This window comes from Homo sapiens, chromosome 3, assembly GCF_000001405.40.
Source record: "Homo sapiens chromosome 3, GRCh38.p14 Primary Assembly".
Classification (NCBI taxonomy): domain Eukaryota; kingdom Metazoa; phylum Chordata; class Mammalia; order Primates; family Hominidae; genus Homo; species Homo sapiens.
In genome coordinates this window covers 167,749,134-167,769,066 of record NC_000003.12, presented here as the reverse complement: position 1 = coordinate 167,769,066, position 19,933 = coordinate 167,749,134, and the positions used below count along the sequence as shown (strand labels likewise).

General features: G+C 38.2%; 1 protein-coding gene across 3 annotated transcripts in view, besides 1 other annotated feature; it reads right to left on the bottom strand.

The window, feature by feature from the left end:
- SERPINI1 (serpin family I member 1) overlaps positions 1 to 19,933 on the bottom strand; it is an 89,849-nt gene that overhangs the window by 56,503 nt on the left and 13,413 nt on the right. The gene's annotated exons all lie outside the window — the stretch shown is intronic.
- Positions 18,459 to 18,578: an enhancer, noted in NCBI's record as "active region_20772". NCBI's record gives its function as "activates an Ori minimal core promoter by ATAC-STARR-seq in GM12878 lymphoblastoid cells {active_cell/tissue: GM12878}" and the evidence as "EXISTENCE:reporter gene assay evidence [ECO:0000049][PMID:35858748]".

Sequence of the window (19,933 nt, the reverse complement as noted above, 5' to 3'; positions counted from 1 at the left end):
AGCTGAGATCATGCCACTGCACTCCAGCCTGGTGACAGAGCCACACTCCATCTCAAAACAAACAAACAAACAAACAAACAAACAAAAGAACAAAATTAGAGGGAGGGGCTCCTGGAGACAGGCATACTGGCTTTAGGAAGAAGCCATAAAAAAAGCTGGTCTGCAGCAAATGAAAAACTTGGCAGACCTCAAATAAACCCTTAAAGTCTAGGACCTTTACCATAAGCATATTTCCTATGCGGATCATGGTATTCCTGCAGCAGCCAGTGCTGGATACTCATGATGATGCCCTTCAACCATCTCAGAAATAGTAACCTATTCTATTCAGTAGGATCTTCAGGGATGTGCATAATACGTTAGAGAAATTCCATAAGCCATCTGAAACACAATATTGGAATATTCAACAGGATACATTTCAGTTTTCTAGAAAACTCAGATACACAGAAGAACAACTTTCTTTGTGGCTGTAGCTAGCTATATTGCTATAGTGTAAAACACAAATAATGCATGATCACTGATGTGCTTTTGTTTTTAACCCACAAGTCAGATTTTTCAGTCTTCTTCAGTTTTGAATTGAGTACAGGCATACCTCAGCGATATTGCTGGTCTGGATCCAGGTCGCCACAATAAAGTTAATAACACAATAAAGTGAGTTATATGAACTTTTTGGTTTTCCACTGTATATAAAAGTTATGCTTACACTCTACTGTAATCCATTAAGTGTGCAATAGCATTATGTCTAAAAAAATAAGGCACATACCTTAATGTAAAAATACTTTATTGCTGAAAAATGCTAATGATCATCTCAGCCATCAGCAAGTCATAAGCTTTTCATTGGTGGAGGGTCTTACCTTGATGTTGATGGCTGCTCACTGATAAGGCTGGCGGTTGCTGAAGGTTTGGGTGGTTGTAGCAATATCTTAAAATAAGACAACAGTGAAGTTTGCCACATCTATGGACTCTCACAAAATATTTCTTCTGTATCATGCAATGTTGTTTGATAGCATTTTACCCATAGTAGAACTTCTTTCAAAATTGGATTCAGTCCTCTCAAACCCTACCATTGCTTTATCAACTGAGTTTTTGTAATAGTCTAAATTCTTTCTTGTAATTTCAACAATGTTCACAGCATCTTCACCAGTAGATTCCACCTCCAAAAAAACACTTCCTTTGCTCATCCATAAGAAGCAATGCCTCATCCCTTCAAATTTGATCATGAGATTGCAGAAATTCAGTTATTATCTTCAGGCTCCAATTCGAGTTCTCTTGTTACTTCTTCCATATCCACAGTTACTTCCTCCACTGAAGACTTCAATGAACCCCTCAAAATCATCCATGAGGGTTGGAATCAATTTCTTCCAAACTCTCTTTAATGTTGACACTTTAACTTTCTCCCGTGAATCAAAAATTTTCTTTACAAAAAAGATAACATTTTTTCCAAATGGCATCACTAAATGATGCCATTCTAGTGAATCCTTTCCAGAAAAATTTCAATTTACTTTGCCCAGATCTAAGAGAGGAATCACTATCTATGGCTCTATAAACATACAAAATATATTTTTAAATAATAAGAATTGAAAGTCAAAATTACTCCTTGATCCATGGGCTGCAGAGTGGATTCCAGGTTAGTAGGCATGAAGACAACATTAATCTCCATGTACATTTCCATCAGAGCTCTTGGGTGATCAGATACACTGTCAACGAGCAGTAATATTTTGAAAGGAACCTGTTTTTCCAAGCAGTAGGTCTCAACAGTGAGCTTAAAATAACCACTAAGTCATGCTGCAAAACAGATGTGCTGTCATTCAGGTTGTGTTGTTCCATTTGTAGAGCACAGGCAGAGTAGATTTAGCATAATTCTTAAGTGCCCTAAGATTATCCAAATGGTAAATGAGCATTGGCTCCAACTTAAAATCACCAGCTGCATTTAGCCCATAATGAGAGTCAGCCTGTCCTTTGAAGTTTTAAAACCAGACATTGACTTTATCTCTCCAGCTATGAAAGTCCTAGATGGCACTGTCTTACAGTATAAGGGTGTTTCATCGACAGTGAAAATATGTTGTTTAGTGTAGCCACCTTCATCAGTCATCTTAGCTAGATCTTCTGGATAACTTGCTGCAGCTTCTCCATCAGCACTTGCTGCTTCTCCATACGCTTTTATGTTACGGAGATGGCTTCCTTTCTTAAACCTCATGAACCAATCTCTCTGCTGGCTTCAATCTTTTCTTCTGAAACCTCTTCACTTCTCTCAGCCTTCATAGAATTTAGGAGTTAGGCTATTGCTCTGGATTAGGCTTTAATTTAAAGGAATTTTATGGCTGGTTTGATCTATCTAGACCACTAAAACTTTCTCCATATCAGCAATAGGCCTGTTTAACCTTCTATCATCCATGTGCTCACTGGAGTGGCATTTTTAATTAACTGACTTCAGGATTTTTTCTTTGCATTCACGACTTGGCTTGCTCCTTGGCACAGGAGGCCGAGCTTTTGGCCTATCTCAGCTTTTAACATGCCTTCCTCACTGATATGGTTTGGCTCTGTGTCCCCACCCAAATCTCAAGTTGTAGCACCCGTAATTCCCACGTGTTGTGGGAGAGACCCAGTGGGAGATAATTGAATCAGGGGTGTGTGTCTTTCTTAGGCTGTTCTCATGATAGTGAATAAATCTCAAGGGATCTGATGGTTTTAAAAATGGGAGTTCCCCTGCACAAGCTCTCTCTCTCTTTGCCTGCTGCCATCCATATAAGATGTGAGTTGCTCCCCTTGCCTTCTGCCATGATTGTGAAGCCTCTCCAGTCATGTGGGACTGGAAGTCCATTAAATCTTTTTTTTTTTTTTTTTTAGGTAAATTGCCCAGTCTTGGGTACGTATTTATCAGCAGCATGAAAATGAACTAATACAGTAAATTGGTACCAGTAGGGTGGTGCATTGCTGAAAAGATACCCACAAATGTGGAAGCGACTTTGGAACTGGGTAACAGGCAGAGGTTGGAAAAGTTTGGAGGGCTCAGAAGAAGACAGGGAAGTGTGGGAAATTTTGGAGCTTCCTAGAGACTTGTTGAATTGCTTTGACAAAAATGCTGATAGTGATATGAACAATAAGGTCCAGGCTGGGGTGGTCTCAGATGGAGATGAGCTTATTGGGAACTGCAGCAAAGGTGACTCTTGTTATGTTTTAGCAAAGAGACTGGCAGCATTTTGCCCCTGCCCTAGAGATCTGTGGAACTTTGAACTTGACAGAGATGATTTAGGGTATCTGGCAGAGGAAATTTCTAAGCAGCAAAGCATTCAAAAATTGACTTGGGTGCTGTTAAAGGCATTGAGTTTTATAAGAGAAGTAGAGCATAAAAGTTCAGAAAATTTGCAGCCTGACAATGCTATAGAAAAGAAAATTCTATTTTTTGAGGAGAAATTCAAGCCAGCTGAAGAAATCTGCATAAGTAACAAGGAGCTGAATGTTATCCCCAAGACAATAGGGAAAATGTCTCCAGGACATGTCAGAGACTTCTGTGGCAGCTCCTCCCATTACAGGCCCAGAGGCCTAGGAGGAAAAAGTGGTTTCATGGGCTGGGCCCAGGAACCCCGTGCTGTGTGCAGCCTGGGGACTTGGTGCACTGCGTCCTAGCCACTCCAGCTGTGGCTGAAAGGGGACAATGTAGAGCTTGGGCTGTGGCTTCAGAGGGTGCAAGCTTCAAGCCTTGGCAGCTACCATATGGTGTTGAGCCTGTGAGTGCACAGAAGTCAAGAATTGAGATTTGGGAACCTCCACCTAGATTTCAGAAGATGTATGCAAACGCCTGATTGCCCAGGCAGAAGTTTGCTGCAGGGGTGGGACTCTCATGCAGTACCTCTGCTAGGGTAATGTGGAAGAGAAATGTGGGGTTGGAGCCTCCACACAGAGTCCCTACTGGAGCACTGTCTAGTGGATATGTGAGGAGAGGGCCACTGTCCACCAGACCCCAGAATGGTAGATGCACTGATAGCTTGCACTGTGTGCCTGGAAAAGCCACAGACACTCAATGCTAGCTTGTGAAGGCAGCTAGGAGGGAGGGTGTACCCTGCAAAGTCACAGGGGTGGAGCTGCCCAAGACAATGAGAACCTACCTCTTGCATCAGTGTGACCTGGATGTGAAACATGAAGTCAAAGGAGATCATTTTGGAGCTTTAAGATTTGACTGCCCTGCTGGATTTCAGACTTGCATGGTTCCTTTAGCCCCTTTGTTTTGGCCAATTTCTCCCATTTGCAACGGCTGTATTTATGCAATGCCTGTACCCCCATTGTATCTATGAAGCAACTAACCTGCTTTTGATTTTACAAGCTCATAGGTAGAAGGGACTTGCCTTGTCTCAGATGAGACTGTGGATTGTGGACTTTGGAGTTAATGCTGAAATGAGTTAAGACTTTGAAGGACTGTTGTGAAGACATGATTAGTTTTGAAATGTTAGGATGTCAGATTTGGGAGGAGCCAGAAGTGGAATAACATGGTATGGCTGTGTCCCCACCCAAATCTCATCTTGAATTCCCATGTGTTGTGGGAGGGACCCAGTAGGAGGTAATTGCACCATGGGGGCAAGTCTTTCCAATGCTGTTCTCATGATAGTGAACATGTGTCATGAGATCTGATAGTTTTAAAAAGAGGAGTTCCCCTGCACAAGCTCTCTCTCTCTGCCTGCTGCCATCCATGTAAGATATGACTTGCTCCTCCTTGCCTTCCACCATGATTGTGAGGCCTCCCCAGCCACGTGGAACTGTAAGTCCATTAAACCCTTTTCCCTGTATAAATTTGGGTATGAATTGATCAGCAGCGTGAAAATAGACTAATACAAATGTGTTTGGCTTAATAATCACAGCAGTTAGCACCATCTGTTGATTGCTGTCCTCAGTGCCTGTGGCAGGAAGGCTCTCTGTGGTCAGTTTTCTTTTTGGTTGTGGCTCTCTTGCTGTTCCTTACTTTTTAGCCATTATAATTGATGCAATTTAAAAATTATTTAAGTGTTTTTTGCAATAAAGATACCAGGAAACAAAAGGTGTCCTTGGGGAGTGAGTTAAGATTTAGATCCTAGTATAATTCAATAGTGTGTGCTCTCTAAAGATCATTAGTATTATTAATGTGAGGCAAAAGTTCTAGATTAAATAGCTTTTGGGAGAATATAATTTATTCAGAATGACATGACTTTAAAGTGTTTTCATAACCTATTATTAAAAAGAGAGACAATACAACTATTTCTCAAACCTGGCACTTCTGAGTGTGTGGTCTGGTGATTGCTACTTCAGAATTTCCTAGGAGATGGTTAAAATCCAGTTTGGGGGTTACATCACCAAACTCTTGAAAAAGAAATTCTACATATTGACCTCAGTTGCCTGTATTTTTAACGGATATTTCAGGTGATTGTTAGACACACTCAAGTGTGGAAAACGAGCTGGTAGAATACCAACTGGGATATGCCTGTCAGTAAAATCGTGGTATAGCAGCCTGAGCAACATGTTGGAACTGCGTCTCCACCAAAGATACAAGATAAATTAGCTGGGCGTGGTGGTGCACACCTGTGTTTCCAGTTACTTGGGAGGCTGAGGTGAGGGGATTGCTTGAGCCTAGGAGGTGGAGGTTGCAGTGAGCCAAGATCACACCGCTACACTTGAGCCTGGGTGACAGAGTAAGATCCTGTCTCAACACACACACACACACATACACACACACACACACACACAAAACTGTGGTTGAAATATGACAGTGGTGGCATGAGAGGAATGGGAAACGAGGAAATAATTGAGCAATAATTACAAGCCAGACCACTTATTCCTTTGCAATCTACTAGCTGTGATTTTTATCTTTTTTTTCTAGCATTATTGCCTAACATCAATTTGCTCCCTAGACTGCAAGCTCCATGAGGAACAGAAACCACATCCGACCCACTTAGGACTACCAGGACCTAGCCCACTGCTTGGCCCAAGTCTGCACTCAATGTTTGCTGAATGAATGATTTAGGTATATTTTCCCTACTTACACATGAGCCAACTGAGACCTGGGGACTTTGGGTAGATTACCTAAAATGACACAGCTGAAAAATAGTAAGCAGAGAATCAATCAGGTCTGGCTCCAAAGTCCAGACCCCTTCCTTCCCAACATCCCCTCCTTGAATTGAATGTCACCGGGCATTCAATTTGTTCGTAAAGGAGGCTTCTATCTACTTTGCCTGTTAAACATTCAAGTCTTCAAAAACCTCTGTAAGGAATTTTATTTAGAAAATAAGTCATGTAGAATATTAGAATGTGATAAATATCCTGGAAAAAAAAAACCTCAGTGAAAGGGGATAAGAAAGTAAGGAGGTGAGAGGGAGTATCGCAATTTTAAATAAAAAGATTAGGAAGCTTCACTGAATAGGTGATTTTTGAACAAAGGTTTCAAGGAGGAAGGTGAAGAAGCTAAACTCTGGATATCTAGGGTCAGAAGCCAGGGATTAGCAAGTGCAAATGCTGAGGAATGAGTCTGGTTAATCCACAGATCAGCAAGAAGCCAATACAGGTGGAATGGGGAGGCTGAGGTGGAGAGTGAAACTGAAAGCCTCATTAGACTGAGTTAAGGAAGAATGGGGAACAAAAATTTAGAAACTGAGCAAAGAAAACTCTTGAAGAACAGTAGCTGGGTGGAGAAGGGAGTAGTCAAGAAAGAGTTTTCTTCGTTTTCTAGTTTGTTTAAGACAGGAGAAAAAACAGCACGTTTGTTTCCTAGGGGTAATGATCTAGGGGAGGGGGAAGTTGATTATTTGGAGGAGAAGGGCACTGCAGGAGTGGTATCATGAGGAGAGGAGAGGGAATGAAGTCTAGAACACAAGCAGAGGCATTGACCTTATAGAGAAGCACCGACAACGTATCTATAGAAACAGGAGAAAAGGTAAAGTACATGGGTACAGATGCTTTTGGGTGGAAACAAGTGGTAGTGAGTGTGGAAGTTTTCTGAAGGTTTCCCTTTTCTCTGTGAAATAGGACATGGGGTCCTTCATCGAGACCAAGGGTGGAAGGAGGTGCTGGAGAACCTGTCTTAAGAACGTTTTTCATGGCATTCTACTTATAGGGAAAGTACCATACTAGGTATTTCTGCTTAAACATATGGAAATATCTTAAGCACAGACTCCTGCCAAGGTAGTATTACTCATCTTTGCTTAGAATTAGTTTGGAAAATAAATTGTACAAGTAATGAATTTTGAAAAATAAATAGAGATTGAAAACCTTCTCCTCTGTTCCCATTTGTGTTGCAAATTTATTCTCCCCAAGTTATTTCATGTTCTGAATGTCACTGAGAAATTTGGTAGATTGCTGAGCTGCACCCCAGAAGTGAGTTTCTAACTATAATTTAATTAGAAGGGTCATAACTACGTTTTACCATATGGGGCTGCCAGATGTAATCAATGCAATATAAGTTTGAAGAAGACATTATTGAGTGTATTGAAGCACATTTTATAAGCAATGAAAGCTATCATTTATGCAACAGAAATTACTCTAATGTCTTATGGAATTAGGACATGAGTAGACTATACAATGGTTGGAGGGTGGGTTAAGGTAGAATGAGCCTACACAAGTCAGATAATAAAGGTATTACTCACTAGTCCTCCACCCCACCACATCAATCAAATCTTTAAGGCAAACATGGCTTAAAGTTTTTATGCTACTACATTTGATGATACAATTAGAAATTGTTACAATTGGGAATTTAGTTTTATTAACAGAGAATCTGGGCAAAGGCATCAGCCATTAAATAGAGGCCCATAAAGTTTTTAACCTGGGGACAATGAATAGTTTAACAAACTAAAATTTCTATCACCAAACTTTTCATCTTTTTATTTGGGTTCTTCAAGCCTCAAAGCTGTTGCAACCCAGTGGCTAGTCTTGCAATGGATACACTTATAAAAACACCTGCAATCCCAAATGTATTAAGTCTATTGTTCGAAAGTCTGAAGGCAGGCTTGGGGCAAAAGATCACACGTGAGTAAACCATATGAGGCACTGTTTTCTCCCTCTCTAGGTTAGGTTAAAGGTTCTTATATAAGCAAAGAGTTCATTTGTTCTAAGGAACAGCTGTTGTACTAGTGTTAAATCTTGTTCAAATACAGATGCATAAATTCCGCATGTCACCAAAACAATGACACAAGCTCAAGATCCAAAACTACCCACCCTGCAGAAAATAATCATTTGGTTTAACTCTGCCTGAACTTGCCTTTACACTGTTATTTTCAGAACTGTGTGATGAATTGATCTTAAATGTTAATGCCTTACATCTCCCTTGTTGAACTTATCCTCTTTGTAGGCTAATCTGAACACGTTTGAAACCAATGAAGGAAAGGACAAGTTCAGGTAATCTGAATTGCGTAATCTTTGGCCAGATTAGATAAATCCAGAGAGATGTTCCACTTAAACAACCCATAGCGTTTAAACAGGTTAAGTGCTGTAACACAGTTAAGACACACACACACACACACACACACACACACACACACACACACACACACAATTTGGAGCCAGGCTTCCAGAACTGAGGAAATTCTTGTCACCAGCTCACCAATTAAAGCTGAGGCTGCATGTTCAACCCAGAGACATAGTATCAGAGGATTGGAGGTTATATGTATTCTCTGATCAGATGCCTTATGCTGCTGCCCTGGTGCCAGAACAGCATATGATCTCACAGTTCCCAAGCCAGTCAGGAATATATATATATATATATATTTGAAATTAGTTATCCAGCTGGCAGCAGGCACTTCTTTTACCAGAACCATTGCAACTATGGTAACATCTAGTTGATAACCCAGAGGAATTGATGAGACATCATAACTAATTTAAGTTTGCCAGAAGCAGAATTTTAAGCACCATTCCTACTTAGAATGATATTCCTAATTCCTTTCACCTGGCCAACTTTTAATCTTCTTTCAAAGCTCATCTCATTGAAGATGACCCCCAACAAGTCATATCTATTTTCATATATGTACACGTGTTCAAAGGTATGATGAGAAACAGGATATTTGTATAACCTTAAAGTATCCAACCACATGACACTTTTTCACAGATTGGAAACTAAGGACACGTGGCATATATACATACGTACATACATATATGCAGTGTCTTGACTACAGAAATGTCTGTCTCTTGGAATGCTACAGAAATACCTGTCAGAATATGAATAAAAACAAAACTGGATTAAGAGTGAGAAAACTTGGACTTCTATCTACTCACTAATCTGTGTTATTTATGGCTTTTTTTTACTTTAGCTGGAACTCAGTCTCATTCATTACTTCATTTATTTTTATTTTAGTTTCAGGGAGTACATGTGGAGGTTACATGGACATATTGTGTGATGCTGAGTTTTTGGCTTCTAGTGAAAATATCACCCAAATAGTGAACATTGTATCCAACAGGTAGCTTTTCAACACTCACCCCCTTTCACCTTCCCCAGTTTTGGAGTCCCCAGTGTCTATTATTTCCATCTTTATATCCATGTGCACCCAGTGTTTAGCTCTGACTTATAAGTGAGAATATTTGGTATCTGATTTTTTGAGTTATTTTAATTAGGATAATATTAGGCCTCTGGCTACATCCATGTTGCTACGAAGTATATGATTTCATTCTTTTTTATGGCTGCATAGTACTGCATGGCGCATATATATATATATATATATACCACATTTTCTTTATCCAATGTTGATGGACACTTAGGTTCATTCCATGACTTTGCTATTATGAATAGTGCTGTGATAAACATATGAGTAAGGTGTCTTTTTGATAAAATGATTTATTTTCCTTTGGGTAGTAAAAAAAAATCTGTAGTCAGATTGTGGGTAAAATGATAGTTCTATTTTTAGGTCTTTGAGAAATCTCTGGAACTCAAAGTCTATAAAATGGGAACAATATGCCTTCTCTGTCTTTGTAAAGTAGTTATGAGAATGAAATAGTAAAGCCCAGCAGTTTCTGTAGAGAGGAAAATGGAATCTAACAGAACACCTGGCTCTATAATGAGTGGCCTTGGGCAAGTCACTGAAACAACTGGAATCTATTTCCTGTGTCTAATGTGGATCATAAAAACATCTGTATCTCTTAAGCTTCTTTTATAAAGAGCCACTCAAATATAAGAGAGTGTTATAACCTTTGTATTTATTTTTAAAACATTTTAAATTTTAATTTTGAAATAAATTTAGACTTACAAAGAAGTTGAAAAAAAGTAGAGTTCCCATATATCCTTCATTCAGTTTCTCTAAATGTTAATATCTCACTTATAGCTAATGCATAATCATCAAAACCAGGAAATTAACACTGATACAATGTTATTGAGTAATCTATAGACCTCGTTTAAATTTTTTCAATAATGATCTTTTTCTGACCCTGGATTTTATCTAGGATCCCATATTGCATTGAGTTGCCACATGTCCTTAGTCTCCTCCAATCTGTGAAAAAGTGTCATGTGGTTGGATACTTTAAGGTTATACAAATATCCTGTTACTCATCATATCTTTGAACACTAATTTTAATCTGTTAATGATTATCTGCAACAATGATTAATGCCATATTTGACACACTGTGATTTTTCTATTTCCATCATTCTTTCTACATTCATCAATTGGAATTCTACTATAAGAAATAGCTGTCCCTTTGCTCCCATTTACTTATGTATCGAAATTATTTTTTGTGTCAGTAGAGACTCATAGGTATTTATTTTATTCTACGGGCTATAATACATTGCTATCATTACTTATTTTTCAAATTGTCCCAGATTTGTTATGGACTTTTTAGATGGTCCAACTCACATAGATCAATGTCTTGTTAAAAATCAATCCATCCAAAGAAATACCTCTTTAAAAATGTAGCTTGATTAAAATGTAAGCTTAGACAAGAAAAAATGTGTGGGGTATCAGGGGACACAGGGCACCGGATCCACACACCTGCAGGTCCAGAATGAAGACAAAAGACTTAGAAAGATACGGAGACATTCAAAATATGAATCCGTGTAAAGGAATTAATATTACTTCCTGTCTGTTGCATAGGGATTTGTGTTACATAAATCAGAATGCTGAATACCCCTGACATTTATACTCTGGCTGGAGATTTGGTTTTCTGACAATTGTCAAGAAGAACATTTAGGAACATTTATATTTTTCTTTATTTTTTGAGATGGAGTCTCACTTTGTTGCCCCAGCTGGAGTGTAGTGGCGTGATCTCGGCTCACTGCAATCTCCGCCTCCTGGGTTCAAGTGATTCTTCTGCCTCAGCCTCCCGAGTAGCTGGGATTACAGGCGCAGGCCACCAAGCTCAGCTAATTTTTGTATTTGTATTAGAGATGGGATTTTGCCATGTTAGTCAGGCTGGTCTCAAACCCCTGAACTCAAGTGATCTGCCTGCCTCAACCTCCCGAAGTGCTAGGATTATAGGCATGAGCCACCACACCCAGCCACAGTTAGGAACATTTATATCCCTGGTTCATTTGAATATACAGAGGCCAACACGGAGTATGATTACAAGTTCAATGACTATATCTAATAGTGTAATATATATTTTGTGTGTGTGTGTGTGTGTGTGAGAGAGAGAGAGATCTCACTAATTGAGGCTCCTTTAAAAACGAGAATACTTTTTGAAAACAGGTAACATTAACGTTCATTATGATTTGTATAACAGAAATTCCTATGTAACACCAAGGAGATCATATTAATTCCTTTACTCATGTTTGTTTATAAAATCATTTATTAATTCATCATGCAAATTCGTATTTTCAGTGTTTAATACATCCCAAGCACTGCACAAACACCACGGATATAAGCAACCATTATACACTGCCTTCAGTGACCTTGCAGTTTAGTGTGAGGTCCTTTCAAAAGCTGGTCTTAGAAAAAGCTCTAGGCTTCATCAGTAAAACAGGAGGGTTGGTCTTTGATCTTTCAGATTCCTTCCAGCACTAAAGTCATTTGATACTGTGATTAACTAACTTGATTATTTAAAGGTTGCTGTTCAATGTGCCTTTCCCTAAAAATATCCTAATCAGTAATAGATGCACTTTTCTCTCTTTAATAAATCCTTTGTAGCTGTTTTATTACTCACTGAATTTCACAGAATTGATTCCCTACAGGCAGAAAACCTCATTTACATAGAGTCACTAAGTCTATTTTTTACATGGTGGCTTAGACTTGTGACATAACGAAGAGTCAGCTGAGACGCAGAATACATTATTTATAAAGTCTGAAGCAGAAAGTTGGTTGCATATTGTAGATACTTAGATGTTCTGGTCTTCTTTGGATTAATGGAAATCAAATAGCTAATCTAAATAACTGCAGTGGTGGACTAGAAATTGCTTTTATGGCATGACTGCCATAGTCATTACAAGGGGCATATGCTTATATATATTTTTCAAAAAAAAAGATGACTTATCTTTTAACTAATGGCTAGACATGTTTATTTGGAAGTTTAATTACAAAAGCAATTTTAGGGCTGGGTGTTGCGGCTTATGCCTGTAATTCCAGCACTTTGGGAGGCTGAGGTGGGTGGATCACTTGAGTAGGGGAGTTCAAGACCAGCCTGAGTAACATGGTGAAACTCTATCTCTACTAAAAAACAAAAACAAAAACAAAAACAAAGATGAATGTGGTGGTGCATGCCTGTAGTCCCAGCTACTTGGGAGGCTGAGATGGGAGGATGACCTGAGCCTGGGAGGTCAAGGCTGCAGTGAGCTGAGATCACACCACTGTACTCTAGCCTGGGCAAGCAGAGTGAGACATTGTCTCAAAAAATGTGGGGGTTGGGTCAGGATGGTGGGAGAAATTGTAAAATTATGGGAAATAAACACAAAACTTCTTGGAAGGCCTGGGGGTTTACATAGCTTCAGTAAAGTGTTTGACTGAAAGCAGCTGAATTATCTTAAAAGCATAGGGCATGGATACCTAGGAATGTAGAGGAGTTTATCTAAATAACTTGTTTACTCATGTGGTCCTAAAACTAACCTTTGATCATTCGTGGGCAGGATGGCTCTCTGGGGTTGGGGGCAGGGGTCAGGGGGTGGGGAGAGTGACCAGGTTAATTAGCCTCTAGTGGTGCTGACTCAAAGCCTTTGTCATTTAATGTGTGCTGAATAAATGTCGGAGGAGCCAGCTAGTCAGGGTCATGGCTGCTACATCTCTTTCAGTCAGCGGCCTGGTCCCCTAGCCAACTCTTTCACTGAATATCAGTGTCTGAGTACGTTATTCATCCGTCATGCAGCTGGGGTCTGCAGGACGGACCACAGCCAAAAAAAAAAAAAAAAAAAAATCAGCAACACCTACTTGTTTTAATAGCTAATAATATAGGCTTTAGGTTTACAAAGCTAAACTATTTCAGTAGTACCAGAATCTGAGAGATTACAGAAGAAAGTGAAAAACAAATGAAAACAAAGACATTTTTAAAAGACTATGCCATAATACCAAGGTCACATTTTACATTTATTGTAATTTCAAGTATGAACAGTCAGTGATTTTGATCTTCATTTTACAAGGTTCCAGTACCAACCACAGCCTTCTTATGGTTTCCTCTCTCTGAATTGCTTAACCTAAAATAACAAATATTTTTACAAAGTATAGCTCTATCTTAATGGGCCCTTTTGAAGTACTATAAGACCATCATCTATTTCCTTGAAACAAGAACTTATTTTTACCAGTAAGTTCCTTTTAAAATATTGAATCTACCAGTATCCTTGGTCACTTGCCTACTCCAAATCAGGAGTGAATGTGCACTGCTGGTGAAATCTGAAATGACTTTAAAAGGAGGTCCATTTGGAGTGATCGTGATAATGCCATGTGCTTTCTTTCAGAGTTTCTTAATTAGGAAGTGCTTCCAAACTACCATCCTGAAATAGGTCATGGATTAATATGCATGATTCTTTCCCATACAGCTAAACTTAAAAAAATGTAGTTGTGGAGTTATATCTTAATGCTTACAATGAGAGCTATGGCCCAGTAACCTGGTAGGATTGTTGAAAGACTGGAATAAAAGTCAAGAAGGAATGGGATTTGTTGAATGAATGTTTTGATCAGACAGCAGAACAGTTCATTGAGCTGCATGAGGCTGCAGGAAGGAGCTATCAAAGATATCTGTGAACAGCAGGAAAGAAAGAAAGAAGGAAGAGGAGGCCAACTAGGTGGTCAGTTAATAGGGAATGAAAAAGTGCTAGCAGGGATCCAAGAAGCAAGCACCTACTCAGGGTTGGGTAGGACATGGACAAAAATAGCTTGAACCTGAACTCCATGGTGGACACGCAGACCAGCAAAGATTGAGAACTCCTGAAGTGGAAGAAAATGAAAGGATTTACCTGGATGAATCTGGAAATCCTATAGTGTGGCAGTTCTGCTATAACCAAATAATGCAGTTGTATTCAATCAACTTCCCTTCTGGATTATACCTCTAACAGAAGTTTTTCTTCTAGTGGATTTATCTGATTAGTGACACTTCCAGTATGTTCCAAGGACGTGAAAATTCAGATTTTGCACTGTGGATTTCCTTATGGCCAAGTCATAAACATTAATGTTATTCTTTGTTGACATTTAGAATATTCAAATTTGAACAGTGTACATATACTAAAGAAAGCACAGATAATAGAATCTGTAAATTATGAAAATGTATGTGCCACAGAAGTAGGACACTTAAAGTTGCTTATTTTTGTTGTATACAATCAAAATGCTTGTAAACATTTTACAATTATAGATCAATGGAGGGCTTTAAGAGACACTTTCATCTATTCCAGTTGCTGAAGATGCATCTCTGTAGCCCAGGGTCTAGCTGTGTGTAATGTGTGGTTCAATTGGTTGGTGAATTTTCACTTCCCCTATTTCTGGGATTTGTGACAGCCTGTGGTGATTCTGACCTTTATTCCTTTATCCCTCCTGGATTTCATGCCTAATTAACCAGTATAAAAATGAATACAGAGCTCACAAATTCTTAAACTGGATAAAACAAAGGTAAATGTGGCATAACTGCATCTCTTCCAACCAGTTACTGGGAGTATAAATATTTCCCTTGAAAAAGCAGCTTGAAGTAAGGTTAATACATGATTTTGGAGAATAAGAAATCTACTCCTCTCCCCCTTTTAAAAAACATTAAGGGCTAGCAAATGCCTTTAAAATTGAATCCAAGGTAATATATCCAGAGAGACACTCTATCAAGCACACATTCTGATATTTCTTACCAGAAGAGAGACAGTAGCATCACTATATAATTATTTCACAGTTCCTTTTTTAATATACATTCTTTAGCCTAACAACACTGATAGTCTTCTGATATACAGTTCTCCTTTATTAGCTATTATTCTTGTGACATTGGTTCTAGGCAAGATTTAGACATATTTTCCTTAATCTTTGCTTTAGCACACCTGAGGAATATGATATATTCTTCATGAAAAATAGCCAGTCTGTAGTAGGCACTGGACATGAAGTATAAGTTTAGGTAGTTTGAAAAAAGGCCACAGGGGTAAGTTTAAGATACCCACCTCACTGCTCCCCACCCCCAATCTTCATAGGGTCCCAAGGCCTCTGAGAATCACTCTTGTAAAAAATGTGAGAATTATGTTTTGAAAAACCCACTAGGGTTTCTGGCATTATTGAGTACCTGCTATACATTAGATGCTTCCTATATTTTCTTTATTTACCACCCTTATAGTTTCATGAGAAAGGAACTTTGTGAAAGAGGAAACAGTTCATTTACTCAACAAATATTTATTGAACATCCCTAATTATCAAGCACTTTTCTGGGCACTGGGAATAGAGCAGTGCCCTCTACACAAAATAGACAAAATAACTGCTTTGAGAAAGCTTACAATCTAGGGGCTCAGAAAAGTCACCCAAAACAAAGATGGGATTTGAAACCATACCACATTTCCAAAAGCCCCTCACATCCTCCTCTGAACATCTGGCTTTCCTCAAGCATCGACATCCAATATAGACTATACTTTTCATTTCAAGCAGAGAGCATCCACTGTGTACTGGGCCCTGGACATGGAGGTGAAAGCAGCAGACAAGGGCTCTGCCTTCACAGAGCTTACATTAAACGAACACACATGCATTAAAGCACCTAGTTGAAAACTGTGTTAAGTGCAATGAATAAAAAGTAATAGTGTGTCACATAAAAGAATAACAGGGACCTATTTTAGATTAAGGAGAGAATCAGGGAAGGCCTCTCTAAGCAAGTGTTATTTAAGTTGAGACATGAGGATAAATAAGAGTTAAGGAGGGAAGCAGTATTCCAGACAGAGGGAATAATATGAAGGCCTGATGGCAGAAAAGAGCTCTGTGATTAAAGAACTGAAATAATACAATGAACAAAGGAAAAGAAGAGGCTGGCTTATGAGGTAGGGGCTAGGTTATCTAGGCCCTTGTAAGCAGCAAGGATGTTGCATTTTCTCCTAAACACAGTATAATTTATAAAGTTATACAGGAGAGAGTATGGGGAGTCTCAAGCAGAAGCTGAAGAAGAAATTGGGTGGTTATTGTAACAATCCAGGTGAGAGAAGATAGTTGACTATGGGGGTTGCAATGAAGATAGAAAAGGGATAGTTAGATTATGGATAGACTTATTTAAAAAATAAATTGGACAAGACAGAGGTAACAGTAAGGAAGGGCGAGTCAGGATTACTCCCAGGTTTAAACTCAGCCAGCTGGGTAGGTAGGTGGAGCTGTCCTTCATTAAGATGGAGAAGGCTGGAACAAAAGCAGAGAGGGGTGAGATAGGGGATCATGAATTTTGCTTTGGATAGGTAAATCTGAGGTGCCCATGAGACATCCACTTGGAGAGTTAAGAAAGTAGTTAGATAAATAAGGTCAGAGTTCAGAGTGTAGGTCTGGGTTAGAGATACATTTAGGAGTTATGAGCACATTTGGATTAGAGTTTTTGGGGAGTGTGGAGAAGAGGTGCCCTATGGCCAAGCTCTGGGAAACCCAAACACATGCAAGACTTAGGAGGATGAAGAGAGAAAATGACCTTCCTTGAGAGCTCAGGGTCTGGCAGAAAGCAGGAACACAATGCATGTTTATTACTAATCTCAAAACAAACCTGTATTTCAGTTTCTCTTGAAAAACATTTTCCCCATTTGGCATAACTATTGTATTAGGTTGAACCATATAAATTACCTTTTTTTGGTAGGTCAAAAATAGTCAAATGTTGGCAATTTCACAAAGTTTAATTTCATACAACACAATTTGAAACAAAATCCATTTATATTGTGGGACAGTATACAGTTTTAAAATGTCACTTCACACATGAAGGAGAATCACTAATATTGGAGGCTTTATTATCGTACATGAAAAAGATACTAGATACCGTACTGGAAAAGATATTAGAACAAATCATACATAACGCTGCATATGATGTACCAATTAGTTTCATCCTGACAGTTGAGTTGACAGCCTGAAAATGCCATTGACAACCCATCACCATTTGTGTCGATAACCTCAACACTATTCTCTGATAAATCTATATATTTAGCGGAGTAATTTAACACATCTCAAATTTTTCATCTGGCTTAAGAAAAATCTCTTATTTCCTATTCCTTTCCATGTGGAGAAAACATTTAAAGGAAGTTAACAGATACGGTTGACTGCTTAATAATTTAATCTTTGCTTATAGAGACTAAGCTTTGAAAAACTATTCTGATACAGTTTGACTTACTTTGTGTAATTACAGGGCTACCTCATTTTATCAAGTAGACATATTCCAAAAACTATGTTAATAATTCAATAGCATATTTTAAATTTACCAAGGTGCTCATGATTGAAAGTTCTGACAAACTCAGAAGTCTGCAGTTTCTTAGCAGATAATATAAATGTGTGAATTGGTCCAGTATAATGGAGAATAGAGGAGTCTGCGGTAACTGAAGAGGATATTCCTTACCTAAAGAAAATCTTTTTTTTCCTAACATAATAAACTCTGCAAAACATAATTTAGCTGGCAGGAGGTGAGACAGAAAGATTTCAGTCTGTCAAACTGCCAGTTTGAAATGCCTAATTTAAAGTAAGCTTGCCGTGGATTTTCTATTCTTTTTTTAATATTATCATGAAACATTCTCTAGTTTTTGTCTGAAGTTAGAGTTTTTATATATTGATTTTATTATTTTTATAGGGTTTAGATATGTAATTGCAGCTGTCTAATTTTTTAAGAATGCAAGAGAATTCATAGTTGAAGAATGCAAGGTACAATATACAAATACTGTGAAGTAAATATGGACAATTCCATAGAAATACACAAAGTATTCTGGTTACTTCTGAGATCATAATTATATTGCAGAACTATGTTTTGGCTGGAAACAAATGCAAACTAGGTACTGTGTGGTGATACCTGAAATAACCTATATGATTTTCTATGCCCCACTTTCCTCATCTATGAAATGAGAATTATGATAGTACTTGTCTCATACGATTGTCATAAAAATTAAGGGTGATAATGTATGGATGTAAAGATATTAGTGCTTAGGTCACAGTAAAAAGTTCAGTCTCAGAAACAGTGAAGCAGTTCTGGATTTCCTTCTAGACAACACCCACTGCCTCCTGTAAACCTTTCACTTTCTCTTCACATACTAATAATAGCCTTCACATGATACACAAATAAGCATCACGAACACGTGATGGCAAACCCATTGCTCCATGTTGCCTTTTCTATTTCATTAATTTCTATGTGCAGTCATCTTGTTCTTACTTTCCCAAGCTACACTGCATGGCTGAAAAAATATTTCTCATAGAGCTTGCTAAATTCAACCTGGGAAGAAGATATGTTACATAATGTGTAATTAATCATTTCATATGCACATTTCTGAAACAGACATTTCAGTGCTGTCATTTTAGATATTTGGGTAACATATACATGTAGTGACATCCAGAAAAAAAAGCAAAGCTTTGGTTTCTTTAATTTCTCTGAAAATAAGTCATCCCGGCTGGGTGTTTTATCAATAGCTGTGAATTTACTTTTTAAGCACCGAAATTTATTTTTATTTTACCCATTTGCATGAAACTTTAACAAAATATATAATTCACTTAGTTTTTCCAGAAAAGTGGAAATGTAACAATTAATCCTCTTTCTTATGCCTGAAGGTCATTTTTTAAAACTTTCTGGCTCTGTCCTTCATTCACCCAGCCAGTATCTACTGAGCACTACATACTGCCCCACAGCTTATGTCTCTGCACTTCTCTGAGGTCAAGACATGAACCCTTCCGGCACCTATGCTTTCTTAGTTTCTTAGCTTTTTTCCCCTCTCATCTTTTGTTTATATTGAGTCACTGTTAATTTGTCTAAACATATAAACAGCATTCAATAGTAAATTAAACAGTTTATTAACAGTAAACAGGTTCTGCATAAAGGCTAATGGATAAATAAGGTGAATTTCACAGCAAGGAATTTGGCTGGGTTTGTAAGCTTATTTCCTGCATTCTAAGGTGTGTTACAGTGGAAATTCTGGATCCTTTTAATAAATGAGATATTCCTGTTAAAGTTTCTCATTTATAAGTCATTCTAAAAAGAAGAAAAGAGAACACTACTTAAAATATCAGTTGGTGCACTATTAGATTTAAAGTGAGACTGGGTTTATGGTTTTAAGTCATCAGCCTTATAGTCACAATTGTCTTGTATAAAGATAGCAATTACTGTACTGTAGCTTGTCATGTATGGTTAATGGTCCTCAGTGATGGATTATTCATGCCAGGCAGCTAGCTGAACATTATGTTTTAATGATGGTAAAAAGCATAGATGTCTTCATATGTTTTGTGGATGTTGAGAAGGAGTCAAACCAAAAAATAAAATGTTCCCATTAGGGTAAGGTAAGACATAAAAGGAACATTGTATGAGAGTAAACTAGAGCAAAAAAACACAAACAAAAATTTAAGACACAGAAGAGAGGAAATGAGATTCAGTATTTTAATGAAAGTTGACTTCCTTAATCATAAAAGCAAGGGGATAA